The 11724-nt window shown below is 50.9% G+C and overlaps 1 protein-coding gene across 10 annotated transcripts in view, besides 2 other annotated features; it reads right to left on the bottom strand.

Moving 5' to 3' along the window:
• KAZN (kazrin, periplakin interacting protein) overlaps positions 1 to 11724 on the bottom strand; it is a 1225220-nt gene that overhangs the window by 7894 nt on the left and 1205602 nt on the right. For 9 of the 10 annotated variants that reach the window (XM_011541074.4, XM_005245795.6, NM_201628.3 and 6 more), the window contains 3 exons: positions 8376 to 8607; positions 6690 to 6791; positions 5961 to 6127 (listed from right to left, as the gene is read on the bottom strand). In XM_011541074.4, the coding sequence (XP_011539376.1) occupies positions 5961 to 6127; positions 6690 to 6791; positions 8376 to 8607 (501 nt within the window). Of the gene's footprint in view, positions 1 to 5960; positions 6128 to 6689; positions 6792 to 8375; positions 8608 to 9220; positions 11223 to 11724 lie in introns of those variants that run through there. The other variant, XM_011541080.4, reaches the window with a different exon arrangement.
• Positions 8731 to 9440: an enhancer, noted in NCBI's record as "H3K4me1 hESC enhancer chr1:15427206-15427915 (GRCh37/hg19 assembly coordinates)". NCBI's record gives its function as "activates a minimal SCP1, AML or CMV promoter by ChIP-STARR-seq in primed H9 embryonic stem cells {active_cell/tissue: H9 hESC(primed)}" and the evidence as "EXISTENCE:reporter gene assay evidence [ECO:0000049][PMID:30033119]".
• Positions 9678 to 9727: a silencer, noted in NCBI's record as "silent region_295". NCBI's record gives its function as "represses an Ori minimal core promoter by ATAC-STARR-seq in GM12878 lymphoblastoid cells {active_cell/tissue: GM12878}" and the evidence as "EXISTENCE:reporter gene assay evidence [ECO:0000049][PMID:35858748]".

Genomic DNA, 11724 nt, shown 5'->3' with positions numbered 1-11724 from the left:
CATACACAAATACACAGACACATACACAAATACACACACAAATACGCACATACACACATACATATACACACATACACACACAGGCACACACACGCACATATATATATACACACATACACAAACACCATCTACACATACATACACAACACACATATACCCACATAAACATACAAACATACAAACACACATATACAAACACATACACAAACACACACACACACACACCCATACACAAACATACACAAACACATATACACACAAGCACACACATGCACATACACACATATATACACGCACATAAACATACACAAACACCACATACACATACATACACATACAACACACACATACACATACACACAAACACATATATACACAGACATACAGACACAAACATACAAACACAAACACACATACACACAGATATATACACACAAACACGCTCATACACAAACATACACATACACCCATATACACACATATAAACACATACACAAACATACAAACACACATACACATATATACACACACACACACATACCCATACATACCCATACATATACACACACATAAACATTAAGCTCTGAGTAACAATAGAAAGAGTAATTGCTACAATTACATCTTACTGTGGCCAAAGGCTTTGGGGACACAGACGTGGTTGGAGTTCCTGCTCAGCTATTCCCTCCATATGTTCTGGTGCGAGTAAAACACCTTACTGGGCCTCAGTTTCCTCATCTGTACGATAAAGTCCAGTAAGCAGCCCTGATCTTTTTTTTCCTCTGAGCGAGGGTCTCGCTCTGTTGCCCAGGCTGGAGTGCAGTGGTGCAATCTTGGCTTACTGGGCTCAGGTGATCCTCCCACCTCAGCCTCACAAGCAGTTGGGACTACAGGTGCACGCCACCACACCCAGCTAATTTTCGTATTTTTGGTAGAGACCGGGTTTTGCCATGTTGCCCAGGCTAGTCTCCAGCTCCTGGGCTCAAGTGATCTACCGGCCTCGACCTCCCAAAGTGGTGTGATTACAAGTGTGAGCCACCGTGCCTGGCCAGCCCTGGTCTTAACAAGCTACCCTATGCACAGAAAGTGGTTGTCTTTCTGTAGACAAAGGAATACGGGGTGACCTTGGCCTCCAGTGTGCCAAAATATCCTCCCTCCTTATTTTTTCCACAGTGGCTGAAATCCCCCCATCTAGGCCTTTGGATAAGATGAAAACACGAAAACTCCAGGGCATAAGCCAAGCACAGGGCCAAGGTCTTTGGAAGCTTTGAACCGACCTATTAAGTATTTCTAGTCACTTAGACCTCGAGGAAATGGTACGTTAGAAGGGGAACTTTTGATGAGGGAACGTTATGGAGAATGGGGCATCTCACTGGACTCTCCTGAGTCAATGTAGAGAACCCTGGGCACTAAATAGGCATCATGGTGCAGGAAGGAAGGTTGGGGGTTGGGAGTCAGCCTCCACCAGGTGGGCCAGCCCGAGCATTGAGTCTCAACCCATTAACCAAGGATTTACAAGGGCAGAGAGGCACAAGATGCTGTGCTGGAGAAAATGAATGGGAAGGAAAGAGTACTCGAGGGCCACCCACTACGTGCTGGGCACACTGTCAGCTCCTCACCACGGTGGCTCAGCAAACCCTCTGCAAAGCCCTGGGAAGAAGGAGTGATCATCCCCATTGCAAGCTGAAAAAACCGTGGCTCAGAGAGGGTAAATTTCTTGTCTAAAATCACACGATGATGGCGGAGGAGCCAGAATGTGGCCTCAAAGGCCCCGCTGGGTCCCATTGCACACAGGCCCACGCCTCTGGGCACTCAGCTGACCCAGTGCCTGGAGTTTGGGCTCACATTTCAGGGATGGTTTGAGGGTGGGGTGGGACAGAATCTCATCTAAGCTCAATGTGTCCTTCCACCCCCATTCCAGCGGCCTGCTGAGTGACCAGAGAATAAATGTTTTCCATTGCCAATGTCTTGGGAAGCCTGTCAGCCGAGGAGGTGGGACAGGTGACAAGGTTCTCTCATTCTATGTGTTTGAGGGTCAAGTCTATTTGAGTTTGTAATGGAATTGTTCTTCTCCATTGAAATGCTAATGAGAACGCTGGAGCAAACTGACAGAAGGGGACTCCTATGCAGCTACTCCAGAGGAAATTGACTGCATGGAGATTCTTCTGCCTCCAGATGAAGGCAGGGGCAGAAGCTCTCAGTTACTGCCGGGCATCTATGTATCAAGCAGGCTGCATACAATTTGCCTCACTGAACCTTTGGAACAAAGCTACAAGGTCGGTATGAGTCATATTCCCCTATTACAGAGGAAGAAACTGAGGCTCAGAGAGTAAAACCTAAAACCACTAGCTCATGTTCAACACAGCAAGAAAGCAGTGATGCTGGGGCTCGAAACCACATTGCAGCCATTGCCCTGCAGAGGAGGAATGGGAGGCAGCGGTGGTGGGGCTAGGGGTGGGTTTGGAATAAATCACTAATATTTATATTATTGGGTGTCTTATGATGTACTGGTTCCTTTGCCAATTGCTTTATGCATTGTCTTATCTCATCTTGCCATCAACTCTTTGGGTGGCAGATAGTGATTACCATACTCATTTTACAAATGAGGAAAGTACAGTTCAGAGAGGTTAAGTAACTTGCCCAGGGTCACACAGCCAGGATTGGTGCTGCTGGGATTTGAACTTGGGTTGCCTGGGGCTAGAGTGCCACAAGGCATTCTGGATGGGTTTATGTCTTCACCTAGTTGTCTATGAAACCAGTTTCTTGCCTGGATGGGAGCCAAAGCCTTTCTTGGATGAGCAGAGACCCTCAGAGATCTATTAAAAAAGGGAAAGAGAGAAAACCTGGAGTGGAAGCAGGCCCTGGGCTGGAACTCCACACCATCCACCTATGAGGTCTTCTCCCATCTCTGTAAGCTTCGTGAAGGCAGGACATGGATCACCCAAGTGCCTGCTCACAGCAGGTGTTCAATGACTGTGGAGGGTGGCTTTTATGGCAAAAGGGGCACTATTCTAGCTTAGATCCCAGGGGAGAGAGATCAGTTCCAGAAAGAGCTTCTGACTAGGAGTAGAGACCTGGGTTCCAGTCCTGCTCTGGTTCCAGTCCTGCTCCTTTGTGTGTCCTGTCCCTGACTCTGTTTTAGTGACAGGCCATATTGCCTTCAAGGCATATTTTTTTTGTTTGTTTTGACTCCTCCGATCCCCTGGCAGCTGCCTTTGGGTACCTCTGCTCCTTGCTGCATCCTTCCTGCCCACTGGTTTTATTCTCCAGGTCCTTAAAGAACAGTCCTATGACTGACACATTGTTGGCGCCGGACCAAGGTTTATCGGGAGATGCAGGAAGTCAGTGTGTGTCAAAGCAGATACCATGAGACCATGGCAGAGACTTCTCCTTGGCGCCTTTGGGTCATGTGCATTGTCAAAGTTGTGGGAAGAGACTAGAGATGACGTCATATTGGGACCCATAAGCTCTTGGTGAATGTGGAGCCTGGACAGAGTCATTTCCCTCTTATCTTATCATTGAGAGGTTCATTGATTTCGTCTCATTCTTGAAGAAGTCCCTGCCCCACCACAACATAAGAACCCACCCTATTTGTCCCCACCAGTCCCTTCTCTGGTGCTCCCTGACTAGTCTTAGTCCTGAACACACCTGTCACCTCATGAGTGGTCAAGAGTTTAATCAGATACACAAATGCCTGCTAATATTCAGCTAGAGCCATCTCTCCAGGGCTCAGAAAAAAGTTTGTTACAGATCATGTGGCTCCAGAAGGGAAGTCAGGGAAAGGGGATAATTCTGAGGAGAAAAGGCTTTTTCCTGTGTCTTTTGATTCATGGCTCCTGGAGGAGGGTTTTGTTTTGTTTTTCTGTTTTGTAGAGATGGACCCTTGCTCTGTTACCCAGGCTGGAGTACAGTGGCATAATCATAGCTCACTGCAGCCTCACACTCCCGGGCTCAAGTAATCCCCAGCCTCAGCCTCCTGAGTAGCTGGGATTATATGGTGCACTCCACCACCTCCAGGGAATTTTTTTAATTTTTAGTAGAGAAAAGGTCACGCTATGTTGCCCAGGCTGATCTTGAACTCCTGGACTCAAGCAATCCTCCTGCCTCCGCCTCCTAAAGTGCTGAGATTGCAGGCATGAGCCACCATGCCTGGCCTAAAACAGAGTTCTTATCAAACATTGTCTCTGTAAGAAGCACCCCAAAATGCTAAAAATGTAGAGTCCTGTGCTCTGCCAGCAGATACTTGTCCTGCAAGTCTGAGGCAGGACCAGGGAATCTGCATTTTACAATAGCTTCAATGATTCTGCTGCAAGGGTCTGTGGGGTGGGCCTCACTTTGAGAACAGCTTGGGTGTCAGCCTCCAATAGGGAAGAGCAGCCCAGGACACCTGGACCCTGCCATACATGCACAATTTTTCCTTAAGCCTCAGTTTCCCCACCTGTATAACATGGGGAGTGGCCCAGCTGCTCCCTAAGGATCCATGTGGTTTAGGGGTTTAGGACTCAGGCCTGAGTTAGAGAGCCCCAAGGTCAAATCTGGGCTCTGTCAACAAAACCAACAAACCTTTAGATAGGCTGATTAAAAAAAAAAACAAAACTCAAACTCAGATCACTAAAACCAGGAGTAAGTGAATGAGTGAGAGAATATGACTACCAACTTTATATATAAGAGGCACTATAAGATAAAAATTATATGATCAACTGCATGCCACCAGATTAGCTAACCTAGATGAAATGGACAAATTCCTAGAAAGATATAAGCTACTGAAACTGCCTCAAGAAGAAATAGAAAATCTGAACAGACCTCTAACAAGTGAAGAGATTGAATTAGAAGTCAAAAAGCTTCCCAGAAAGAAAAGCCTAAGACCAGATGGCTTCGCTGGTGAATTCTACCAAATGTCTAAAGAATAACAAACACCAATCCTTCCAAGCTTTTCCAAAACCCAGAAGAGGAGAGAATACTTCCCAATTCATGCTATGAGGGCTATATTACCCTGATACCAAAATCAGACAAAAACATCACAAGGAGGGAAAACTATAGACCAATATCCCTTATAAATATAGATGCAGATTTTTTCAACAAAGTACTAACAAATTTAATCCAGCAATATATAAAAAGGATTATACACTGTGACCAAGTGAGATTTATCCTGGGAATGCAAGGTTGGTTTGACATATGAAATTCAATCAATCAATATAATACACCATATTGATAGAATAAAGGACAAATCTAGGATTTGCCACTTACTAGCTGTGTATCTTGGGCACATAGCTTGGTACCTTTGAAGAAGTTTCTCCATCTATAAAGGAGGGATAGTGCTACTGATCTCTTGACATTGCCAGGAGGATGAAATTAGATAGTTCACACAGGAAGTATTCAATAAATGGTCATCTAACCCTAAGTGCATGATTTTAAGAAGAGAATCCACTGGGAGGGGGACTGGTTTATGCCCAGGTGTTCATTCTCTGGTCACTTTTCAGATGGGGATACTAGGATAGGTGGGCTGATGTGGTCTGCTTACCTGGTCCATAAGCATCATTAATATGCTCATTCCTGACTCCAAGCCTTTGTCCCCACAGTTGCCCCACCTGGACCAACCAACTCAACCTATTAGGCCAATGCAAGTCCTCCCAGCTACACTCCACCTGCACGTGGCCTTTCCTTACACATGCACTGCTTGCTATCTCTTCTCTAAACACCTGGGTGTTTTTTGATCTAATATACACTTAATTCAAGACCTGACTGCTCCTCTACGTCTTTCTAGTCTATGACCTTCAGGCTAAAGCACTTTGCTTCTCTGAGCCTTAGTTTCCTGATCTGTAAAAGGTGACCACCATGGTGCAAAGAACGAGTGGGAGGCAGTAAGTGATGGGCCAGGATGGGGAGCTGGACCATCTGCTTCCAAAGCCCTGAGCTGTACTGTACCCAGCAGCCCACATGACTGGATCCCAGCCCGTGCTCACTTGGCTGGGTGGAAGACGGCGCTCATCTCCTCTGCCAGGTGTCTCCGGAGGATGTGCTTCCCACTGGGGATGCCCAGGGCAGTGGCCATGGCCTCGGCATTGAATGTGGGCTCCAGCACCAGCACAGCACCATGGACGCCGCTGTTGGTCAGGTTGTCTGCGTACTCCTGGGGGCAAAGGCAGGGGACTTGTTAGCCTGCAGGGGCCATGCTGCTGGCCTAAGGGGGCCCCAGTTCCACGTGGGGCTCTGTCCCCAACAGCAAGGGCTTGACCCCCTGGGGACCAGTTAATTTGACGGTGAAGAGGAACCCCTCCCCAATTTTTTAGAGCCACGAGGTCAGGGACCTCCTGTTACTGAGATGGTCCCTGACCCTAGCAGGAAATCATCAATATTTGTTAAATGAATCTCAACCCCACACTTGCTTAGGAGAGTGGGGCTGGCTCAGCCTCTCTACCCCATGTGAGCAAAGCATCATGACATGGGGCTCCTATTTGGAAGGTAAGCAGTTCCCTCCTCCTGAATAACAGGAGGCAGGTAATTCTTGCTGGGCCTGAGTTAAGATGCTCCAGCCCACACAAAGGGGATATTAATTTGTGTGGGATTTGCCCATTGATTTGCATGAGATCTGCATATTGATTTGCATGTGATTTGCATATTGATTTGCATATAGATTTGCATGGGGTTTGTGTATGCCCGAGAGTCACCCCGACCTCCGCTATCACCCTCACCTTCAGGTCGATGTCTCGAACCCACTTGAGCACCCGCTGGTTGGTCCACACCACGGGGTCAATGTTCTGCGTCTCGCAGCGGGCCCGGCGCTCCTGGAGGGCCTTGTGGGGAGACAGTGGGTCATTCGGAGGGACAAGGGGACACGCAGAGGCCACGTGTGGAGTGGGGGTGCCCCGCATCTCTTTTTCCCCCCGAGACAGAGTCTCTCTCTGCTGCCCAGGCATGAGTGCAGTGGTGCTATCTGTGCTCACTGCAACCTCCGCCTCCCAGGTTCAAGCAATTCTCCTGCCTCAGCTTCCCGAGCAGCTGGGATTACAGGCACCTGCCACCACACCGGGCTGCTTTCTTTTTGTATTTTTAGTAGAGATGGGGTTTCACCATGTTGGCCAGGCTGGTCTCGAACTCCTGACCTTGTTTGTGATCCACCCACCCTGGCCTCCCAGAGTGCTGGGATTACAGGCGTGAGCCACCAGGCCTGGCCCCTGCACCTCTTTTTACATGTAACTGCTGTGATCTCCCACACGTGCCTCCTTGGCAGACTGGGGACTGGGGCCAGGGTCTGTGTCCTTGTCACTCCCTGTCCTCGGCGTGGCATGGGGAAGGCACTGCTGCTGTCCTCGCTCCACTAACAGGGAGCTCTGACTGCCCAGAGCCACACAGTGGCACGTCTTGGAGTTGGAATGAAAACCCATGTTTGGCTGATTCCAGGTCCTCTCTCACCATCTCGCCACCGTATCGCAGGCCTCCCTGGGTCCCACAGGGACTGACCCCAGGGTTCACAGTAGGCACACAGTGGATGCTTTTCAGTGGGTGGTTGAGAAGGGGGACAAAAGGCTGGATGGCCCCCTCTTCTGTCCCTCTTCTGACCCTGAATTGTTGGGTTCTGACATCACTCTAAGAAAAGTCAGCTACCTGGACTCAGCCCCACAGTGCCCAGCAGCTCAGGCCCCTGGTGACCTCTGCAGCAACCCCCCACCACCTCCCACCTCAAAGCCAGCACCCCACCCAACAGGACTCTCAGCAACTCTGCTGCCGTGGATCAGTCCTCTGGGCCTTCACCACACTGTTGCCTCTGCTGGGTTACTTTTTCTCTCATGTCTTCTACTGATCCCTGGGGTTCCTCCTTCGGGTCTCAATTTAGTCGTTGCTATCTCTGAGGAGCCATCCCTGAGCCCCCTGAAGACTTCTCTGGGTTTTCTTTTTTTCTTTTTTTTTAAAATAGCAAACACTTAAAAATTTTTATTTTAATTTTTGTGGGTATACATAGTAGGTATATCTTCTCTGGGTATTCATAAAACCCTGGGCTTCCCTCACTGGGACAATCTCCCACAATATTGGCACCACCAGCTTCCTTGTGGTTCTCTCTGGTAAGCACTTAGCTCTCCAAGGATGAGGGCTCCCATTTCCCCTGCACTGAGCACAGCGCCTGGCCCGTGCCCAATAGGGGGTTGTTGGAAAGAAGGAGGAAGAGAAGATGGCTGGCTGACTGGCTGGCTGGCTGGATGATGGCTGGATAGGTAGGTAGATGGATGGACGGATGATCAATAAATGGATGGCTGGATGATGGATGGATGGGTGGACAGATGGATAGACGGGTAGTGGGTGGACAGATGAACAGACAGTAGATGCCAAGAGGGGAGGGGTGGGCAGTGGAAGGTGCCCCCACCCTGTGCCCTGGTCCTCACCTCCCTGCTGAAGTTCACTTGGTACAGCAGCTCGATCCCCAGCAGGATGCTGACCTGGTGGAACTTCTTGGACACGTTCAGGTGCTTCTCCAGGTCTCGCTTCATCAGGGAATTCAGCATCCGCCCATCAACCAGGTGGTTCTGAAAGGCCTGGGAGTACTGGGACAGGCCAATGTCATTCAGCCAGGCCTTGGCCACCCAGTGATGGTCCAGCTCGGCAGCTTTGGACAGGCTGGGGAGGAGACATAGCCAGAGAGTGGATGGGTGGGGAAAGGCGGCAGAAACAGACGGACGGGCAGAAATGGGTGGAGATGCAGAGAGAGGAAAAGCAATGGGGTTGGGGGAGGACCAAGAGAGCCACAGAGACAGACATGGACAGGGATGGAGCCGAGAGATCAAGAGGAAAAAAGGGAAAAAATGAGACAGAAAGGGCAGAGATGGTGAAAGAGGTGGATGGAGGAGGGAGACAGAGAGAGAGAAAGGGACACAGAAAGAGAGAACAAAGAGAGAAAGAGACAGAGAAGGAGAGAGAGAGACACTGAGAGAAAGGAGCAGAGGGAGATAGAGAAGAACAAAGAGGAAGAGGCAGAGAGAGAGAGAGAGAGAGAGAAAGACCGAGACTCAAGAACAGAAAGGGATCAACAGAGAAACAAACGGAAGGGAACAGGAAGAGAGAATCCCACACTCAGACGCAGCGAGGGTGAGAAGGCGCAGGGGCGGGGAGCAGAAGGGCCACGTGTGGCAGGAGGCAGCACCTCTGGGGACCCCGCCCCTCCACCTAAGCCCCCCTCATTTCCCTGGGGGCCTCCACAGCATCCCCGAGACCCACAAAGCCTGGGCTTGGCCCACCTGATCGGCGCATCCCTCCCCAGTGCTCTGCGGTCTGTTTTCCTGCTTCAGGGATGTTGGGTGTCCACTCAGGTGTGCCAGGCAGGTCCTAATCATGCGCGAAGAAGGCAAAGCTGCCGTCCTCGCTCTGCAGATGGGATGCTCCAACTTTGCCTAGAGCCACACAGTGGCTCATCTTGGAGTCAGAATTAAAGTCCATGTTTGACTGATTACAAACCCTCTCTCTTACCACTGCACTGCCAGGTCTCAGATTTCCTTGTGCCCCACATAGAAATGACCCCTGTACCACGTATACAGCAGGTGCGCAAGTGCTTGAATTTTCAAGCCGGTGAATGTGTGACTGTGCCTGGCTGTCATTCCGCTGCTCGCCACACAGTGGCAGCCTTGCAGAAGGAACGAGGATCACCGCATCCCACCTGCAAGGGACTTTGCAAAATGCCCCAGGTCTGACAGGTGGGAGAGCGCTGGTCTAAGTGGGAGGTGCAGGGGGCCACGAAGCCATCAGTATGTGAAAGGGAAAGTGGTGGGCTTGCAAAGCCACTCCACCCTGCTCCTGGGGCAGCAGCCAGAGACAGCTTGTCATGCCACCCTCCTGCTGAGGGTCCTGGGTGGGTCCTCCCTGTCCTTCCTGCCTTCATGCCCGGATATGCATTCAGCATCCCGTGACCACCCTGCTGGGGTACATGCTGCCATACAATGGGCTCCTCTTCCCTCCTAACCCCTTCCCCTCTTTCTCCAGGCACTCCTGTCTCTGTATTACCCATCTCCAGGGCTCTGGAAGGCACCCGTGAGGGAGGGCTCCCAAATTCTCCACTCTCTTCTGAGCAGCTAAGCTCTGAGCTCTTTTCTGAGCTCCTCTTTCCTCTCTCAGCCTCTAGCTGTCCTCTTAACGCTGCCTGGCTGTCACAGACGTGTCATACTTAATGGCTCAGTTGTTCCCCTTCACTGTCACTGTCACCGTCACCCAGGGGCCCTTCTCTGTCACCCAGCTCCCAAGCTGATAGCCCGTCCTTGTCTGTCGGTCACTCTGGTCAGTGCATCCTCTGTCCACTTCTCTCCTTTCCCAGCTCTAAGCTGCAGGCGTCTCTGGTGTGGGTTTCTGCCACTTTCCCCGGCTGCTCCCCGTTTCCTGCCTTTGCTTCCCTTCTATTCCGCATCCCCCAGGACCACCAGGGGGTCCTTTTAAAATGTCAGTGTGACCGTGCACTCCCCTGCTCAACACTCTGTGGCTTCTCTTTGCAGGAGTAAAATCGCAAGTCCTTTGAATGGTCCACAAGGGTCACCTGCACTGGCCCTGGCTGACTTCCCCTCCCCCAACGCACATGGGGCTTGGGGTCCTGGGGGCCGTTTCCTGGAGGCACTGAGCTCTTCACCCCCCATTCCCCTCCCCGGCCAGCCCCTTGCAACCCTGCCCAGGGCTCACCCCTCCTCATCCCTTGGGCGTCAAATCTCCCTTTTCTCTGAATTTGCTGTCTGAAGTTGCCCCCAAGTCTGCTTACTGTCCCTAGTGCTTTCCTTCAAAGCTCTAATCACATACTGAACCTAAGCAATTGCTGGTTTGTCCACTAATTTATTTTCTCTCTTCCCCACCTTAGCAGATAAGCTCATTCAGGACAGAAACTGCGTTCACTGCCAAACAGCACAGTCTACGTGCACAGTAGACACTGATTGAATGCTTCCTGGAATAATGGCTAAGAGCAGGATGGGCTTGCAGCTTGGCTTCACTCTCCTTCCCTCTGCCCATCAGCCTCCCAGAACCACTTGGGTCCACTGGGACCCCCTTGTCTCCGGGCCTGTCCTCTACCCCACCCTCTTCCCCCAGTGAACTCCTATGGACTCTGCAGAGACGTCTGGTCTCCCGGAAGCCTTCCAAGATGTCATGCTGGGTCAGGAGCCCTTCTCTGTGTCCAAAGCCCCTGGAAGTCCCCATCTCTGCACCAGTCACATTGTGGTTCATGGTTACGCATCTGGCCAGCTGCCTCACTGGACGGTCAGCTCCTGGGGGGCAGGGTGGGGTGTGGCTTATCTGTGAATGTCCAGGGCCCCTTCAGGCTCTGAGTTCACACTCACCAGTGTTTGTCTCATAGTCGAATGTGTGGATGACAGAGCAGTGCTGGGTGAGCGGGTCATCTGCCCCAGTCCACCTGGAGGCTGCCCAGCTGGAGCTCCTGAACTGGAAACTTCTGGCCCAAGACAACCTCCCTTCTAGGATGAAAAGGTCCTGGGGCAGTCCCCCTCCCAGTCCCTCAAGGGCCGGCCTCAGCCTTGTTACAGGACGGTTCTCTCGGGCAGGAGCTGGAGCCCACAGCCCTCTGAATCAGATGCCACTGGGCCAGATTTGTCACTGATGAAGACTAGAATGGCCTCCTCTCCTCTCTGAAGCAAGAGTTTGGTCAGCAAATCAATGGTGCAACAAGAGTTGGGGTGGAGAGCTGCAAAGGGGGCACCCCACTTAACCTACTCGAGAGGGGCCCATCCATAATCAGCAATCTCCATCTGC

The sequence above is a fragment of the Homo sapiens genome, chromosome 1, assembly GCF_000001405.40.
Source record: "Homo sapiens chromosome 1, GRCh38.p14 Primary Assembly".
In the NCBI taxonomy this organism is placed as follows: Eukaryota; Metazoa; Chordata; class Mammalia; order Primates; family Hominidae; genus Homo; species Homo sapiens.
The sequence above is the reverse complement of the archived record's forward strand: the minus strand, read 5'-3'. Positions and strand labels throughout refer to the sequence as shown.